At 46.4% G+C, this 19,296-nt stretch overlaps 1 protein-coding gene across 3 annotated transcripts in view, besides 1 other annotated feature; it reads left to right on the top strand.

Moving 5' to 3' along the window:
* Positions 1–19,296, top strand: part of SH3PXD2B (SH3 and PX domains 2B) — a 129,345-nt gene that overhangs the window by 37,187 nt on the left and 72,862 nt on the right. For all 3 annotated transcript variants that reach the window (NM_001308175.2, NM_001017995.3, XM_017009351.2), the window contains exon 3: positions 10,987–11,062. In NM_001308175.2, the coding sequence (NP_001295104.1) occupies positions 10,987–11,062 (76 nt within the window). The remainder of the gene's footprint in view (positions 1–10,986; positions 11,063–19,296) is intronic.
* Positions 4,137–4,638: an enhancer, noted in NCBI's record as "H3K4me1 hESC enhancer chr5:171839705-171840206 (GRCh37/hg19 assembly coordinates)". NCBI's record gives its function as "activates a minimal SCP1, AML or CMV promoter by ChIP-STARR-seq in primed H9 embryonic stem cells {active_cell/tissue: H9 hESC(primed)}" and the evidence as "EXISTENCE:reporter gene assay evidence [ECO:0000049][PMID:30033119]".

Genomic DNA, 19,296 nt, shown 5'->3' with positions numbered 1-19,296 from the left:
TCCCACAGATAGCCCAGCGACTTCAGGGAAAGAGAACACCCCAACAGTTAAAGCAAAAGTCTCATTGGCTCATCTTGGGTCACATGACCAGGCTATTCGGGACCAACCTGGGGACTGAAAGTAGAATCAGTGTCCTGCCAGTGCATGGAGACTAACAGAGCAGTGGCAGATTCCCTGGAGGACATCATGGAAATGGCCTGTAGGTGATAGAAAACAATATGCCCCCTCCAACGGGGGCAGGACATTCAGGCAGAGGAAACAGTCTGCAGAGAGGCCACTGAGGAGTTGGAGCATGACCCAGGCTCCCTTGTGGGAAAAGAGACTCACAGTCACCGAGTGTGATGGCTCACACCTGTAATCCCACCACTTTGAGAGGCTGAGGCAGACAGATCACTTAAGCCCAGAAATTCAAGACCAGTCTGGCCAACAAAACAAGATCCCATCTCTACAAAAAATTTAGAAATTAGCCAGGTGTGACGGTGCGCACCTGTAGCCCAGGCTACTTGGGAGGCTGAGGTGGGAGGATCCCTTGAGCCTAGCAGGTCGAGGCTGCAGTGAGCTGAGATTGTGCCACTGCACTCTAGCCTAGGCAACAGAGCAAGACCCTATATCAAAAAAAAAAAAAAAAAAAAAAAAAAAAAAGAGAGAGAGAGAGAGAGACTCACAGTCTCTATGAAAAGGTCCTTTTTAAAAAAAAAAAAAAAAAAAGTAGAGGCCGGGCGCAGTGGCTCACGCCTGTAATCCCAGCACTTTGGGAGGCCGAGGTGGGCGGATCACAAGGTCAGGAGTTCGATACCAGCCTGGCCAAGATAGTGAAACCCCGTCTCTACTAAAAATACAAAAACTAGCTGGGCGTGGTTGTGGGCACCTGTAATCCCAGCTACTCAGGAGGCTGAGGCAGGAGAATCATTTGAACCCGGGAGGCAGAGGTTACAGTAAGCCAAGATCGTGCACTGCACTCCAGCTTAGGCAACAAGAGCGAAACTCCGTCTCAAAAAAAAAAAAAAGTAGAGACAGGGTCTCACTTTGTCACTCAGGCTGGAGTGCAGTGGCGCCATCACAGCTCACTTGCAGCCCCAAACTCCTAGGTTCAAGTGATCCTCCCACCTTAGCCTCCCGAGTAGCTGAGACTACAGGTGTGTGCCACCACGCCTGACTAATTTTTTAAATTTTTGTAGAGACGGAGTCTTGCTTTGTTGCCCCGACTGGTCTCAAACTCCTGGACTCAAGTCACCCACCCACCTCGGCCTCCCAAAGTGCTGGGATTACAGGCCTGAGCCACCGCGCCCGGCTGGAAGTTCCCCTTTATGAAGATTCACCTTCCAACTTGGTTTCCTGACTTGCTTACCTTAGAAGGGCCTGATAGTGATGCCTGATGCTCTTACTTGACATCTGACCACACGTCTCATTCACCTGAGGGTGCAGGAAATGGGATAGAGCCCTGGGCTTGAAATAAGAATACCTGGTGTCGGGTCCTTCCCTCTGTCTTACCAGCTGTGCGGCCTTGGGATGGTCACCCAGCCTCTCTGATTCTCCCTTTCTGCCCTGGCTTGGGACTACTCTGGGGAGTCCATCAGTGTGGCAAAGGAAATTGGCATCCAGGCAGAGCACTGGGGATGACTGGAGTGCCCAGAGAGCTGAGGGTAGTGCCTAGCAGAAATGTGGCTGGGTTGAGCCACATAGTAACAATATCGGCAGTCACTAACTGGAATGTGCCAGATGCCCATCTTATATGCCATCTCATTCTGTCCTCACAGGCATGAGGTCAGTATTGTATCCATTTCACAGATGGGGAAACTGAAGCTCAGAAAGACAGAGTCACATGCCCAGAAAGCAGCATGGCTGGGATTCAAGCCCAGGTGTGGCTGGATCTGAAACTTGCACTCCTAACCTCCCTGCCTCCTTGGGCCCCGGGATTGCCTTTCAATCTGCCTATTGAAAGATAGATTTACCCACATAGAGTCCTGCCTATGGCTGCCCCTTTTTAAGGCCCATTTGGCTCCTCCCTCTAAGATACAGGCAGAGTCTATCCACAGAGGGCAGTTCTGACCAAAACATGAGCCCCTCTACACTGTACCGTGCAACCTTTGTCTTCTGAGTTCCCACTGGTTCATTGTGTCCCCCAGGCCAAGGGTCATGGTCATCACTGGAGCCAGGGCTTCCCTCACAGAAGGCGCAGTTAAACATTTGCTAACCTAGACCTCGAGCTGCCACAAGGGACCCAGATGGATCTCTGCTTTCCATAAGCTTCCAGTGTAGTGGGAATAGGCACATGTTCTTTCAGATAGAGAGAAATCCAGGTGTTCACAGAGGGACCTCCCTCCTAGCCAGGGAGCTCAGACAGGGCTCACTTGCTGGAGGAGGTGACATCTGAGCAGGGTCTTGACAATGAATAAGGAGTGGCCCCTCCACCGAATGGGGGAGGGCATTGCATGCAGAGGACACCTCATGTGCAAAGGTGCAGAGGTGCAATGGAGCAGGAGTCTTAGCTGGGCATCTTCCAGAATTCCAACATTGGCAGGGGGGCACAGAACCAGCTGAGTCACTCTGCCCGTGAAGGAGCCCTCGGGAGAAATGCCAGCCTCATCTGTAAGAAGGAACACTCCCTACGGGGAAGTTCATGCTGCAGAGATCCAGAGAAGCTTTTCTGGCTCCTCTCCTGCTCCGCACGCTGTGCCAGAGCGTTGCTGCTAGGCTCAGGGGCTTACGGCTCGAGCAGTTCTTGGACGCCTCAAATCACAGGTGGAGGCTGCATCTCCATCTATGCCTTTGTCTCTCCAGAGACTGTCCCAAGTCATGCAGCAAAAACCGCTTGTTTCCAGTTTCCATTGAGCTAGGACTGACCCATCCCCTTCTTTTTTTTTTTTTTTTTTTTTTTTTTTAAGATGGAGTCTCGCTCTGGAGTGCAGTGGCGCGATCTCGGCTCACGGCCACCTCCGCTTCCCGGGTTCAAACGATTCCCCCACCTCAGCCTCCGGAGTAGCTGGGATTACAGGCACGCGCTACCATGCCCGGCTAATTTTTGTATTTTTAGTAGAGATGGGGTTTTGCCGTGTTGGTCAGGCCAGTATTGAACTCCTGGCCTCAAGCAATCCACCCGCCTCAGCCTCCCAAAGTGCTGGGATTACAGGCGTGAGCCACTGCGCCCGGCCTTGACCTGTCTCCTTCTAAGACCCTGGTCCTTCCACCTCGGCCCTCTTGGGAGTTTAACAGCCCCAAGTGTACTTTTTAAGACTATCTGCCCATAAGCCCCCATGCTCCACTGCAGAGGCCAAAGGGAAGGGAGGGTTTTCTTCCAGCTTTTCTGAGGACAGGTCTAGGGGATGGCAGAACTGAAGAGTTTTCACTCCCTAGGCAGGCATTGCCTGGCCGGGAAGCCTTCCCAGCAAGATCCCAGCCAACATCTGGCCCAAGACTCCACCAACCATATTTATCCAAATACTGCCTTTACTCCATCCTCAGACACACTTTTTCTCCCAGACATTATCTTCTGGAATTGGAGTATGCCTCCAACGTGTTGTGCATACTTAAATGGAATAGTTTTCCCTTCCCACTAAAAGCTATTACCATATGGAAGGTGTGTCACTGGGAAAATACCGTAGTTGCCTTTTTCCACACAGTTAGCAATTCTTTATTTCTAAAATAGAAAGAGGCATGATTATCTTGGGCAGTTGCAGCTAAACTCAGGTCCAGGCCCTGTTGCTGCCACCTGGTATGTAATTTTTCCTTTCCCAGAGAGTGGCTGACCAAACCAGTTAACCACTTTTTCTCATTTGTTTTTTCATTCATTCATTCATTCATTTACTCATTTGTTCTTTGCACAAATATCTAACAGGTGCTTACCGTGTACCAGTGAGGAGGTAGTGGGGCAGAAGAGAGGGCCAACAGTAGTAAGGGGGTTGAACTGAGAAAATACAGGCCTGGACTTAGGGGGAGCAGTAAGTATGGAGAGAAGCGGACAGACCGGAGGTGGTGGCAGCCTCCGTGCAGCACGTCCATCAGGACACCAGACACATTGATATTTAGACCAGCTCGTGGAGGGGCCAGAATCCTCAAAGACAACAAACCACAGATGGTAGACTAGGCCCAGGGACACCGTTGTGTTCAGGGCCCTGAAAGCCCTGCCCCAGGACCTTGTGGCTTTCTGCCAGCCTGCAGCTGCGCATGATGGCCCCAGGCCTTTCTCCACTTCCTGCTCCGGCTCCGCTGGGACTTGGGGGTTTTGTGATATTGAGGGGGTAAACCCCTCCCAAGTCCAGCCTCAATGGCTGCTGCTAACGCAAACCACGTGTGGTGGCCAGCTTCCATGGCGTGTTCTTTGGACAGCGTGTCTCGCATTCCCTCTACCGCAAGCTGATGTCTTGAAAACTGCTGATGGAGTGTTCTCTCTTTCTTCTTGGAAGCCTGTGATGTGGCAACTTGATGTGACTCCTTCTCCCTTCCTACTCCCCAAATGACTCATCTTCCTCTTCAGTTTCCAGTCCTCCTCACCCTGAGCGCCACTTCTTTTGTTATCTGGGGGGAGCGCGGGTAGTGGGTTTTCTCATTACCAAGGATGACATGGGTTAGGCTTTGAGGAGCATGCCTCTGCTCCTGCTGCTGCAGACAGCCTGGGCCTGGTCCCTTGGAGAACCTACTTCAAGGCCTTTGGATGCCTAGTGTTACAGTTCTCTGCATAGATGCAATTGGTGGCCGTAAACCTGGACACACCAAGACCAGCTCGGCAAGGAAAGCTTGCAGGGCTCTAATCCCCCAGCATCTTATCCTGAGTCCTAGTCTTTGCAACTAGCAAACTCACAGATGGCCGTTGACATTGGACACAGTGATGAAGAAAACGAAATAAAATTGGATGTGGTTTAAATAGGAGGATATTGTGATAGTCCAGCCCTGCACTGTCCGGGATGGCAGCTGCTCGTCACATGAGGGTATTTAAATGTAAATTCAAGTCAATTAAAGAAAATTTTTAAATTGAGCTCCTGAGTTGCAGGAGCAGCATTTCACCTGCTCAATAGCTACCAGGAGGCTAGTGGCCACTGGATTGGACAGCAAGATGTAGAACACCTCCATGATGGCAGAAAGTGCCAGCAGACAGCCCTGCTACAGCCACGGGGCCACCCGGGCAGTCCTGAGGGGTTTTTTGCCAACCTTAAAACACAGCCTCACAATCAAATATTATTCAGCCTTAAAAAAGAAGGAAATTCTGCCACATGCTATAAAATGGATGGAGCTTGAGGACCTTATGCTAAGTGAAATATGCCAGTCCCAAAAGGGCAAGTACTGTGTCATCCACTTATTGGAGGTAGCTACAGCAGTCAGATTCATAGAGGCAGAAAGCAGAGTAGTGGTTGCCAGGGCCCAGGGGGAGGGAGAGGGGGGAGTCACAGTTTCAGTTTTGGATGATGAAGAGGTTCCAGAGATGGATGGTGGTGATGTTTACACAACATTGTGAATGTGCTGAATGCCACTGAACTGTACACCCAAGTGTGGTTGAAATGGTAAATCTTCTCTTGTGTATATTTAACACGATTAAAAAAAAAAAACCACACAGCCTTACAGACTACTAAAAGTTATCCCCAAATAACTTTCAAAATAACATATTCAATATGGGCAGAGTGTAAGGAGCGGGGATTTCTTGCTGAGCATCTGGTGTGCTCCCCAGAGTTTCCACATAGCACTCATTTACCCAGCCCCGCCGCGGAGCAGGCTGCGTCCCTCATCCTGCAGACGGCCAAACAGGCTCAGGGATGAAGTGTCTGGCCAAAGACACACAGCTGGCATGAGGAAGCATCAGGATTGAACCCCAGGGCTGTTGGGTCCCCAGCAGTCATGTCTGTGGTTAGACTATGCAGTATTTAAACCCAGATCTGCCACCTCCAACAAATAAAACAAAGGGAGGCCTTTCAGCTCCTTGGGCCATGCTGATCTGGGTAAAATCAAGTCAGGACAAAGGGCAAGAGAGCAGCTTCTTAAGACCAGGCAGTAGAGACCCCTCTGAGGACTGAAAAACACAGCAGTGGCAGGGACTCATTGGCTGACATGTACATTCAGGCAGGGACTCCAAAGGAACCCGGAGATTGGAAATAGTCATGTTAGGGTGGACAGATTACTGGTGCATTCTTTAAAAAAAAAAAAGTTCCCTTTAATGGTGTTTCATTGTCTTAACAAATAAAATTGAGAAGGGAAAAAGTAGATAGTGTTAGGCAAAAACCTATAAATCTCTAACATACTCCACAGCTGAGACTGATTAATGGCTCTGCTTTCGAAAAGAAAGCATGCTGTTCACATGTGCACAGAATATTAAACTTACCTCATCTCAGGCTGACTTTTGTGTTCACGTGACACTCTGAAGCTGCCTCAAAGAGTGGTCTTAGGCAAAAAGAATGGAATTTAGACAAAGATGCATGGACTGGCTGGACACACCACTTAGCTGTGTGACTTCAGGCAAGTTCACTGCCCTCTCTGCTTCTCAGTTACCTCATCTGTGACAAGGGGAATGTAACATTTATGTCACAGAGTTACTGTCAAGGTCACATGAAATCGTATATGAGAGGACATGTTCACTGTGAACTGTTATATACGTGTTAGTTGTGATTACTAATTATTATTTAGTATTAGTAATGTGAATATTATTCCTCAGAGTTACTTAGCAAACATCTCCTGAAGTTGCCTCCCAAAGCGTTTGCTCAGTTGCGTTCATTGGTTCAGCCAATTTTTTTTTAATCAGTAAACTTTAGTTTTTAGAGAAGTTTTAGGTTCTCAGAAAAATTGACTGGAAAGTACAGAGCATAGCCCCTTGTCCTCGCCACTCACAACCTCTCTTCATCGACATCAAGTTCAGCCCGTTTTTATTGAGCATCTACTATGTGCTGGCATTGAAGAGCTCTTGGATTCACAAAAAGAAGGCTGCCTTTTCCAGCAAGTCCCCACTGTGGCCTCACCTGTCTCTGAATGACAGTGGACCAAGCATTTCCACCTCACCAGGCAACAGAACAGGGGACAATGACTCAAAACCACAAATAAAACCACATGTTTAAAATACTGGCAAGGATGTAGAGAAAAGGGAACTCTTACACACAGTTGGTGGGAACGTAAACTAGTATAGCCACCATGGGAAACAATGTAGAGGTTCCTCAAAACACTGCAAAGAGAACTTCCATATGATTCAGCAATCCCACCACTAGGCATTTATCCAAAGGAAAGGAAATCAGTATATCTAAGAGATAATACATCCCATGTTGATTGCAGCTCTAGTCACAGCAGCCAAGGTGTGGAATCAGCCTAAGTACCCATCAGCAGATGAATGGATAAAGAAATTGTGGTATGGGCCGGGCACAGTGGCTCATGCCTGTAATCCCAGCACTTTGGGAGGCCGGGGCAGGTGGATCACCTGAGGTCAGGAGTTCAAGACTAGCCTGACCAAGATGGTGAAACCCCGTCTGTACTAAAAATACAAAAATTAGCCAGGTGTGGTGACCCATGCCTGTAATCTCAGCTACCGGGGAGGCTGAGGCAGGAGAATCGCTTGAACCCAGGAGGCGGAGGCTGCAGTGAGCCAAGATCGTGCCATTGCACTCCAGCCTGGGCAACAAGAGCGAAATTCTGTCTCAAAATAAAGAAAAGAAAAGAAAAAGAAAAAGAAAATGTGGTATGCATACACAATTGAATACTATTCAGCCATCAAAAATAAGGAAATCCTGTCATTTGCAGCAACATAGATGCCACTGGAGGACATTATGTTAAGTGAAATAAGCCAGGAACATAAAGTTCTCACTTACATGTGGAAGCTAAAAAAGTTGATCTCATAAAGTGAAAAGTAGCACAGAGGATAACTAGAGGCTGGGGAGGGTAGGGGGAAGTGGGGAGATAGGGAGAGATTTGTAAAAGGAAACAAAATCACAGCTAAATAGGAGGAATAAGTTCTAGTGTTTTGAGTGTTTTTGGTTTTGTTTTTGTTTTGAGACAGAGTTTTGCTCTTGTTGTCCAGGCTGTAGTGCAATGGCGCGGTCTCGGCTCGCTGCAACCTCCACCTCCCAGGTTCAAGCAATTCTCCTGCCTCAGTCTCCCTAGTAGCTGGGATTACAGGTGCCCGCCACCACGCCCAGCTAATTTTTTTGTATTTTTAGTGGAGAGGGGGTTTCACTGTTAGTCAGGCTGGTCTCGATCTCCTGACCTCAGGCCATCCACCCACCTCGGCCTCTCAGAGTGCTGGGGTTACAGGTGTGAGCCACCGCGCCTGGCCAGTTCTAGTGTTTTATAGTACTGTGGGATGACTATAGTTAACAATAGCGTATTATATAGTTTCAGATAGCTGGAAAGAAAACATTGAATATTTCTAACACAAATAAATGATACATGTTTGAGATGATGAATGTGTAAATATGCTGATCTGATCACTACATATTATGTGAATCAACATTACTAATGTACCCCATGAATATATACAATTATTATGTGTCAATTAAAAATTAAATTTTAGAAATTTAAAAATTAAAATAAACTAGAAAGTGAAAACCCAGGCCAGGCGTGGTGGCTCATGTCTGTAATCCCAGCAGTTTGAGAGGCCGAGGCAGGCAGATCACCTGAGGTTAGGAGTTCGAGACCAGCCTGGCCAACATGGTAAAACCCCGTCTCTACTAAAAATAAAGTTAGGCAGGCGCCTGTAATCCCAACTACTTGGGAGGCTGAGGCAGGAGAATTTCTTGAACCTGGGAGGTGGAGGTTGCAGTGAACCAAGACCATGCCATTGCACCCCAGCCTGGGCAACAAGAGGGAAACTCCATCTCAAAAAAAAAAAAAAAAAAAAAGTGATAACCCAAAGCACACAAAAGAAAGGCAGTAATTAAGATAAGAAATTGACAGCCTGAGCAACATGGCAAAAGCCATCTGTACAAAATACAAAAAAATTAGCTGAGCATGGTGGCACACGCCTATAGTCCCAGCTGCTCTGGAGGCTGAGATGGGAGGATCACCTGAGCCCAGGGAGATTGAGGCTGCAGTGAGCCATGATTGTGCCACCGCACTCCAGCCTGGGTGACAGAGCAAGACCCTGTCTCAAAAAAGAAAAGAAATTGAGAACAGAAAAAGAATAAAGAAAATCAGTGAAACTAAAAGCAAGTTCTTTGAAACGATAAAGATTAATAAACCTGTAGCTAGCGACCAAGGGAAAAAAGAGAGAAGGAAAAAAAAAAACCCACAGTTTAAAAGTTTAAAGACTTCTGGGGCAAGGCCGTGCATTCCAGCAGCTTCCAGGATGCGCAGCCAAGCTGAGGCTGACTCACCTGCCCAGGGCATCGTGTAGAACAGCACCAAAGAGGCCGGGAGCTCCAGCCTGGGAAAGCAGCCCTGGCCTTTTTAATTGTCTTTGTAGCATTTCAGAGGCGAGGTGATTTGATGATAAAGAAGCAAGTGGTCTTCAGTCTCTGGCCCCTCCGCTTTGTTGGCTACAGGCCTTCAGTTTCCTGGACAGTCAGGTCCACCTTAAAGCAATGATCGAGGATTTAATGAGGGAATGTTTCTAAAGAATCTAGCCCATGTCTGGCAGATAGTAGGTGTTTCGTATACATATCTCTGTTCTCTCCCACTTCGGGTCCTCCCCTCCCTCCCCAAATGCCTACACAATAGCTGGTGTATTTCTCCTGGACTTTTCAAAGTTTCTTTTATTCCATGAGAGGGACAGATCTCAAGTGCCAGAGTGACTTTCCTGTGGGCAGGCTTTTCACATTCCAGCCATTACTCCACAAGGCTTGGGACTTTCTCCCTCACCATCTGCTTTGATTCCTTGACCCGTGTACTAAACAGGGTAGGTTAAGATGCTGCTTATGCAGATAACCTCACTATACAACCAGAGCATCTTGGCATAGCTCACTCAGGCCACATGTCCAGCAGAGGTCACTGGGGTCTTTGGACCTCATCCCATGACCGCGGCCAGCAGAGAAGCCAGGCTCTGGAGAGTGGCCAATCCCCATGGAAGAGGGAAATAGCAAGTGGGAAAGCATCCACCAGTCATCATCTTCCACCCTGAAGTGACACATGTCTCCAGCTCACATGGATTGGCCACATCCTACTTCAAGGGACTGGGGAAAGTACAAATCTACCATGTGCTCAGAAGAAGAACCAGAAATATTTGACAACAGCGTTAATGACTTCCGCAGCCCAGCTTTAATCCATAAAATAACGCTGCAAGTCAGTGTCCTTATGGCAGACTTAAAGATGAGGTCCTAAAAGGTTTTGTCACTTTCCTAAGACCCCATGGGGAGTAAGAAGCAGATCCTCGTGATTTTGTATGCCAAATCCGATATTTCACATGAAGTCCCTGAAGCTTTCAGAGATACGTTTATGGTACTATGAAAGGTTTTTGTTTTGGGGACTCTGCCCTCTTGTACCTCTACCCCCACAGCAGCCTACACCTCCCTCTCTTTGCACCACCTTTTAATGATCAGTTCTCTTCTCAGTCCCCTCTCTAGATTATGAATCTTTTCCTCGCTGTCTCCTGTTCCTCTAGCACAGAGCCAGGCCCAAAGCTATCTGTTGAGCCGACCTGAAGAATTCTTCCTGGGTCAGGGGAATATAGTGCCCTCATAAGCATGAACCGAACCACATTGATTGGATGCTAATGATTTATTCCTTACCTCAACCCAGAAATACTTAGGAGCAGGATGACCTGCTGTCCATGAAATCCTGGTGGCCCTGAGAGTGTTGTTCACGTTTCAGATCCTGTGGATGGAGAACCCCAGGAAAGCCGGGAATGGTCTCTCCTAACTCTGAACCTTCACAAATCTGGCGGCTGTGGATATAAACATTGTTTTCATGGGGTTTCTAGGTCCAACTGAAATTGCCTTTCCCATTAGTTTGGGTTTCTGGAAAGCTGAACGCAGTGAACTTTTAGTATATCACATCACATATTTCACATAATTTCTTTAAAATGTCCTAGATGATGTTTAGTGCATTATGAAAGGTTTTTGTTTTTGGTATTCGCCCCCCACTTAGATGCAGATGTTGGACAAATTTCCCATGGAAGGAGGACAGAAGGACCCCAAGCAGCGGATCATCCCCTTTCTGCCAGGTAGGTGAGATGGGTGCTCTCAGACTGGGACACTGGGGGCTCTGTTACAGTTCCCAGAGCCCTTGGGACAGTTTATCAGCTTGTCTTCCTTTATCAGGGGACACCATCCCACTGACCAGAATCTCAGCCATTTGTAGAAATTAACCCATTTATGCCGGAGGTTGCAATTTTTTGTATTTTTACATGAGTGAAAAATCAGACCTTGGCAGTGACCTTGAGCAGTAATATATAAATAATTCCCACAGGCTTAGCATTCCAATAATGGAACACTAGGCATAAGTGGGTTAATGACTGAGTACTTGGGTTTTGGCATTAGATGCTACACCATTTACTAGCTGATGAATGACTTTGAGAAGACCCTTTACCTCTGGGATCCTCAGTTTCTCCCATCTCTAAAATGGGAATAATTCGAACTCAGAAAGTTTTTCTAGTGAGTGCTTTCTGTTTCTATAACTATGGTATTCGTTTTCTATTCTTACATAACAAATTACCACCAATTTAATAGCTTAAAACACCCATGTGTTACCTCACAGGTCTGTGGGCCAAAAATCCAGGCAGGGTTTTTGGCCCAACTGGGTTCTGCTCAAGGTCTCATGAGGCTGAAGTCAAGATGTCAGCTGAGCCAAGCTCTTATCTGGAAGACCTACAGAAAAGTCTACTTCCAGCCTCCACGTAGATTGTTGGCAGAGTTCAGCTCGTCAGAGCTATAGGACCAAGATCTGTTTCCGTGCTGGCTGCCACCCTCTCATCCTCTAAAAGCTTCCCACATCCCTCATCACAGGAGCCCTCTCCATCTCCCAGCCAACAGTGGGGCAGCAAATCTGACTAGGGCTTCAGATCCCTCTGACTTTGCCTTCTGCCACCGGTCAGGGAAAGCTGTCTGCTTTTAAGGACTCATACAATTATTACCTGACTAATCCAGGATAATCTCCCTCTTCTAAAGTGAACGGAAGGCATATAATAGCTCGTCACATATACAAGCTTTGGGGATTAGGGCGGCACATCCTTGGGGGATATTTTAGAAAGTTTATGAACCTACCTCACATGGCTACCAGGCAGCACACCAGCTGCTGTGCAGCGTTTAATGCAATTATGCCTAGTCTCTGTTCCCAAGGCAGTCAGTCTCCATCCCTCCAAATTCTTACCAAAGAATACTATCACGGCTTCAGCTCAAAGAGAGGGGTTACCCAAACCAGTGTTACTGCTTCAAGTATAATAATAGCTCCCTACTGTGGGCCAGTCACTCAGTGCTTTACTTTCATTACCTCGTTTGCTCCTCAGAGCAGCCCTGCGGCATAGGCATTACTGCACCCATTTCACAGATGAGGAAAATTGAGGCTCAGGGAACCTATGGGCGCTTGCACAGATGGCAGAACTGGAATTCAGACACAGGTATGGCTGGCTCCAAAATTTGTGCCTGGAGTCAGACAACCTGGGTTCCAATCCCAGCATGCCCCCCTCACCAACTCTGTCACCCTGGGTAGATGACTTCATTTGCAAATTGGAGATAATGATGGTACTAAAATGATGAAGTTGTTATGATGATTCTGTAAATGCCTGGCAGGTCACTAACAGCTATCAAGCACTTACTATGATGATTTTTATGTACTGAAAATCAGCAATCTGACAATCACCCTAAGTCACAGATATTTAGAGCTGGACGGGCCCTTTAGATCCTTTTTCAAGGCCAGGCATGGTGGCTCACACCTGTAATCCTAGCACTTTGGGAAGCCAAGGTGAGTGGATTATCTGAGGCTAGGAGTTTGAGACCAGGCTGGCCAACATGGCAAAACCCCTTCTCTACTAAAAATATAAAAATTAGCTGGGCGTGGTGGCGGGCACCTATAATCCCAGCTACTTGGGAGGCTGAGGCTTGAACCCGGGCAGTGGAGGTTGCAGTGAGCTGAGATTGCACCACTTCAGCCTGGGTGAAAGAGTGAAACTCTATCTCAAAAAAAAATATATATATATATATCTTTTTTCAGCAAAGGGAACAGGTCTAGAGATTGGGGGGACTCCCTGGGTCACACAAGTGCCAGTCTCCCAACCCCCTAGTCCAGAACATAGTGGGTTCTTCAGGTATTAATGTCACTGAATGGGTTTAGAGACAGGGCGCATGTGTTTGCCAGGCCTCCTCCACTGGGAGAATCCTTTACCTAAAAAAGCTAACATTTGTAGTTTCTCCACTGGCAAAGTGTACAACCATGCTGGAATTTTCTTTCCTGCTGGAGAAAACCCCGCTGGCCAGCTGCGGCAGCCAAATGTCAGCGCTCCAAAGCGTGTGCTTCAGAGTCAAACAGACTAGCCTGTGACCTCAAGCAAGCGACATCCCCCTCTGAGCCTCAGTTTCCACATCTGTTAAAAACGGGACAGTGAGCCCTGCTTCACAAGGTCCAGTTCCTGGCACATAGTAGATTATTGGTAAAGGCAGAAACAGGGTCCTGGGACATGCCTTTGGAATCTCTTGGTTTCACATGTTAGAGTCCTCCTTAAATGACCATTCTGGATATTCAAGGTAAACTGGACTCCAAATGTAGCTTTTTTACATCAAGAAAGGAAAGGAAGGCAGTGAGTTCTAACTCTTTACTGGATAAAAGGCAAACTCAGCTCTGGAAAACTACCCAAGACAGAGAAGAACTTGAGCCGACCCTCTCCCAAGCTCTTAAAAGCTTTCATGGTTACGTAATCCATCTCCACCAAAGAATTAATGAAAATGCCGTTCCCAGGGACTTGGTCCCTTCTCAAGGCACCCACTTGTGGCTTGGAGAGGTCCTGCTGGACCCCAGGACCCCGCTGGGCCCCAGGACCCCGGACCACCCCTTCTGAGCCACCTCTTAGCTTTTCCTCAAGGCCGAGGGTGAGGCCAAGGCAGGGAAGCACGAAAGAAGCGCCCCCTCTCCTAGGGGTCAGTTTTCTGCCAAGACTGCCGCGTCAGCAGAACAAAAGCAAGTCTCATGTTAGCACAAAGGCGGGGGAGGGGAGAGCAGCCTGCACAGTTTTCCATCCCAGGAGGAGCTGGGGAAGCCAACTTGGCAGAGGATGCTGCCTGAAAAATAGGAATTACAGTCTGGCCTTCCTCCACAGTGGAAAACAAAAGCCGACCATTCCCACCAAAGGCTGTGCTCGCCTCTGAACACCCTTTCCACTCCAGGAAGGCAATCGGCTCACCCTCCTTCCCTGAGATGCACACAGAAACACCTCATGTCAGGCACAGGCCGGGGCCGCTGCCCATGGCACCTCACCAGGGAGGCCCTGGCCAAGGAGGTGCTGGCTCCCATGCCTACCACTGGCCTCACGGTTCTGCCCCACAGCCAGGGCCTGAGCCACAACTCGGGCTCTGCTGTGGGTAAATGACAAATTGGCCTGCTGGAGGCAGGTTTAAGAAAGCTGGGAGTTGAGGAAAGAACGTGCACTCTGAATTGCAGAGTGCATGAATCATCTAAAGTCTAAAGTAATTGCCCCTTTGCAAGCACCTACTAAGGGCCACCCCGGTGCTGGGTGTCATGGAGACAGCTTCTAAGAGCTAGGGGCTGCTGTCCCATTTCACAGATGAGGAGACTGAGGCTCCGGGAGGTAAATGCCTTCCCCAAAATTCCCCCTATTGGGGGAACCCACCCCCGATAATTCAATGTGGGTCCTTTTCTATTTTCCCTAAGTGTCGGCTGGTCTGAGAAATAAAGGGAAAGAGTACAGAAGAGAGAAATTTTAAAGCTGGTGTCTGGGGGAGACATCACATGTCGGCAGGTTCCGTGATGCCCTGCAAGCCGCAAAACCAGCAAGTTTTTATTAGTGATTTTCAAAAGGGGAGGGAGTGTACGAATAGGGTGTGGGTCACAGAGATCACATGCTTCACAAGGTAATAAAATATCACAAGGCAAATGGAGTCAGGGTGAGATCACAGGACCGGGGCAAAATTTAAATTGCTAATGAAGTTTCGGGCATGCATTGTCATTGATAACACCTTATCAGGAGACAGGGTTTGAGAGCAGACAACGGTCTGACCAAAATTTATGAGGCAGGAATTTCCTCATCCTAATAAGCCTGGGAGTGCTACAGGAGACTGGGGCTTATTTCATCCCTTACATACAACCATAAAAGACAAGACGTTCCCAGAGTGGCCATTTCAGATACCTCCCCCTAGGAATGCATTCTCTTTCTCAGGGCTGTTCCTTGCTGAGAAAAAGAATTCAGCGATATTTCTCCTATTTGCTTTTGAAAGAAGAGAAATATGGCTCTGTTCCGCCCAGCTCTCAGGCAGCCAGACCTAATGGTTATCTCCCTTGTTCCCTCAACATTGCTGTTATCCTGTTCTTTTTTCAAGGTGCCCAGATTTCATGTTGTTTAAACAATTTGTGCAGTTAACGCAATCATCACAGGGTCCTGAGGCGACATACATCCTCAGCTTACGAAGATGATGGGGTTAAGAGATTAAAGTAAAGACAGGCATAGGAAATCAGAAGAATATTGATTGGGGAAGTGATACATGTCCCTGAAATCTTCATGGACATTTGTTGTTCTGTATGTTCAGAGATTGCAGTAAAGACAGGCGTAAGAAATTATAAAAGTATTAATTTGGGGAACTAATAAATGTCCATGAAATCTTCACAATTTATGTTCTTCTGCCACGGCTTCAGCTGGTCCCTTCGTTCGGGGTCCCTGACTTCCTACAACATCTCTCCCTTTCTTTTTATATAAATGTGCCATGGCGATGAAGGCTTGTTCGTTCTCTCAATTTTGATGCCGGATTCTTTGACTGGTCCGGCACACTAAAGATAAGCCAATTAAACAGAGAAACATAATTCTAAGATTTACTACAGTGGAGCCCCCAATAGACTTAATCCAAGTCGTGGGGTTTAATCCAGAAGATTTTCTGCCACCTGATCTAACGCCTCAGCTCCAGGCACAATGGATAAATGAGCTTGAGAGGCTTCAAAAATTTGTTTCTTTAATTTAGTTATGTCCAATGATAAATTATCTTCCCTACCTAGAAGGTGTCCTTTGACCATTTCCCATGAATGATCAGTCTCATTGTAGGAATACGGGGTGATACAGAAATCCGAAGTATTCCAATCACACTGCATTTGAATGTGATGTTCGAGACTCACCACCCAATCTCCAAGCCAAATAACAGACTGTCTTAAATCATTAATTTGATTAGCCAATTTTTGATCAATGCCTTGTTGAGAATTCCACATTTGGGTGGAATTGGCTTGCCAATCGTTAACAAAATGAGCCGTTTGAATAGATTGATGTAACGCCATTCCAGCAGTGGTGGCCAGTGCAGTGACTATAATTAGGCCTATGATCACAGCGCTTAAAGTGAAAACAAATCTCTTAGATCTTTTTAGAATTTGCTGTAACACTTCATTAATTAAATGTATTGAGGGGGAGGATTCCCAAGGTCTGGGCAAAGTTACCAGAATGCAGATTCCTTCTCGAGCCCGAACCAACATTACACTTTCCCTGGAGTCAAAATGGGAGTTAATACAAGTGTATAAATGACAATTAATGCATTGGACAGTTTGATTGTTCGTCCAAATTTTGATATTTCCTACTAACAGCATGTAAGGAAGCTTAACACAACTCTGTGTGGGAACAGTCAGGTTGGAGGTAAGTAAAGCAGAATGTCTGGATCTATGGTGATACTGAGAGAGGGGGACGGTAGTGGGGACAACAGACAGAATAGTTTTCCCTTCCCATACTTGCAGTCCAGACATGGCAAGAGCCAATTTCCAAAGTTCTGGGTGTTCTGGGCTCAGAATGGGGAGTATCATATGAGGCCTCAGGGGGGTAATGCCTTTATCTTCCCATTTTAAGGGAAAGAACAAGCTGAACCTCCTATGCAAAGTAGAATGATGATTCTCGTTCTCCCGATAAGAAATAAAATAAGTAGCCTCCAGGCATTCCCTTCTGCCAGAGGAGCAATTGTTTTTTAAATAGCCCTTTGGTGCCCAGTCTATTACTAAACCATATGAGTCATTTTTTAATATTACTGCATGTGAGTTAACACAGTCTTCTGAGATTAAAGTTTTAGATGGGCCCTCAAAATTTTTAGGGCATGGTTTTCCTCAGGTTTATATTGAAAGTATGGGGTATCTCCCAGTACTCCCCCTTTCATTTGTTTCAAAGGAGAAAGGGAGAGGCCGGAGACCAAATGTCCCGGTTCCTCTGTAGCTGATCTCTCTGGAAGATAAGTAGCCCAGACTTGAGTTTCTAGATGGATACAACCAGGTGCATGTTCAAGGCACAGAGGGGGGTATTTATCACCCGTGGTAACATTAAATGCAGTTCCTTCTTCTCCTGGTTGAGCAGGGCAACAGTCATCTGTAGCTCCAGGCATCCACACACTATCATTAGTGTAGATTTCTGCAGGAACATCTATCCAGGTGAGAGGTCGAATAAGTGCAGGAAAAGGCACATAAGCCCAATAAGAATAATTTTGTGTAGCAGGTAAATCAGTGTGAGAGGAAACTGGTGAGACAGAAAGTATAAGGAGGAGAATAATTAAATAAAACCCAGTGTAAGCGAGATTGAGTGCTGAAGGAGGAAGAGAAGAACAGAGGGATGTTATTGTCAGGCTAATAGAAATGGTGAGATTTTTAGGTTTGTAAGGAGAAAAAGAAAGGCAATCAGGAAAAGTGGAATTAGTTAGATGGGTCTCCATTGCCATCAAGGAGGATTGAATCAGACCCATTGTGATTTGGTGTGCCGGCTTCTAAGGAGTTGGCACAGATCTCACCACGTCTGAGGGCAGTCTCTGACGCGGACGTCTTTTCCCTGCGGTTTTCTTTTGATGATCTCCTGGTGAAACACAAGCATATCCTCTTTCCCATGTTAAGTAGAATAAGAGACAATATTTAAAGGTTTGGGGAAATCCTGTAAGGCAGTATTTATAGCAATTAACTCAGCCTTTTGAGCAGAGGTATAAGGGGTAGAAATAAGCTTGTTTGTAGGACCTACATAACCAGCATTTACATTTCTGGAGCCATCAGTGAACACTGTAACGGCCTCAGGAATGGGCTGATCTTTGGTTAATCGAGGGACCACCCAAGATGTCATTTTTATAAAATCAAACAATTTGTTCTTTGGATAATGATTGTCAATAATGCCAATAAAATCAGCCAAGTGAATTTGCCATAGTATGGAATGTTGAAAGGCAGCTTGAACTTCAAGCTGTTTTAAAGGAACTTCAGTTAAATTCAGATCAAATCTGGAAATTTTAAGTATTCTACACTGAGCCTGTCCAATTAAGGTGGCCATTTGATCTAGATAAACAGACAAATTTTTGACACAGAATGAGGAAGAAAACACCACTCCACTAAATCATTATGTTGAACTATTAGTCCAGTAAGGGAGTGTAATGAAGCGAAAACCAGAAGCTGAAAAGGCTGAAACGGCTGTACTCTAGATAACTGGAATTTCCTCTACGAATTCCAGTTCTAGTGAAGCCTCAGGGGTCAGTCCTGGGACTGCGGAGATTGGAATCTCCCCATGGTGTAGAAAACAAGTTAGACAGCACATAGGTTGGAATACCTAAAGTAGGTCTTAAATAATTAATGTTACCCAAAAGTTTTTGGAAGTCATTTAAAGTTTTCAAAGAATCTTTCCTAATTTGAACTTTTTGAGGTTGAATATGTTGTTTATCGACCACCATTCCTAAATATTGAACAGGAGTGGTCTGTTGAAGTTTATCCTGAGTGATGTGTAATCCAGCCTCTGTAACACGGCGGCTCAAACTTTGATAACAGTCAATTAATTCTTTATCAGTGGGGGCAGCAATTAAAATATCATCAATATAATGAAGAATATAGGCCTGGGGAAATTGGGCTCAAACTGTTGAAAGCACTTGCCCAACATAAAGCTGGAAGATTGTAGGGCTATTTAGCATTCCCTGAGGAAGTACTTTCCATTGATAATGAACTGCAGGCTCCTGACTATTGATAGATGGTACAGTAAAAGCAAATTTTTCACAATCCAATTTATGTAAAGGAATATGAAAAAAACAATCTTTAAGATCAATAACTATGAGAGGCCAATTTTTAGGTATTAAAGCATGGGCAGGCATGCCGGTTTCAACGGCCCCCATAGGTTTAATTACAGTGTTAATAGCCCTTAAATTGGTTACCATCCGCCACTTGCCTGATTTCTTTTTTACCAGAAACACAGGAGAATTCCAGGGGGAAGGAGAAGGTTCCACATTTCCAAGTTGTAACTGTTCAGAAACCAAGTGAGTT

The sequence above is a fragment of the Homo sapiens genome, chromosome 5 (assembly GCF_000001405.40).
Source record: "Homo sapiens chromosome 5, GRCh38.p14 Primary Assembly".
Lineage (NCBI taxonomy): Eukaryota > Metazoa > Chordata > Mammalia > Primates > Hominidae > Homo > Homo sapiens.
Note: the sequence above shows the minus strand (reverse complement) of the source record. Positions and strands in the feature narration are given on the sequence as shown.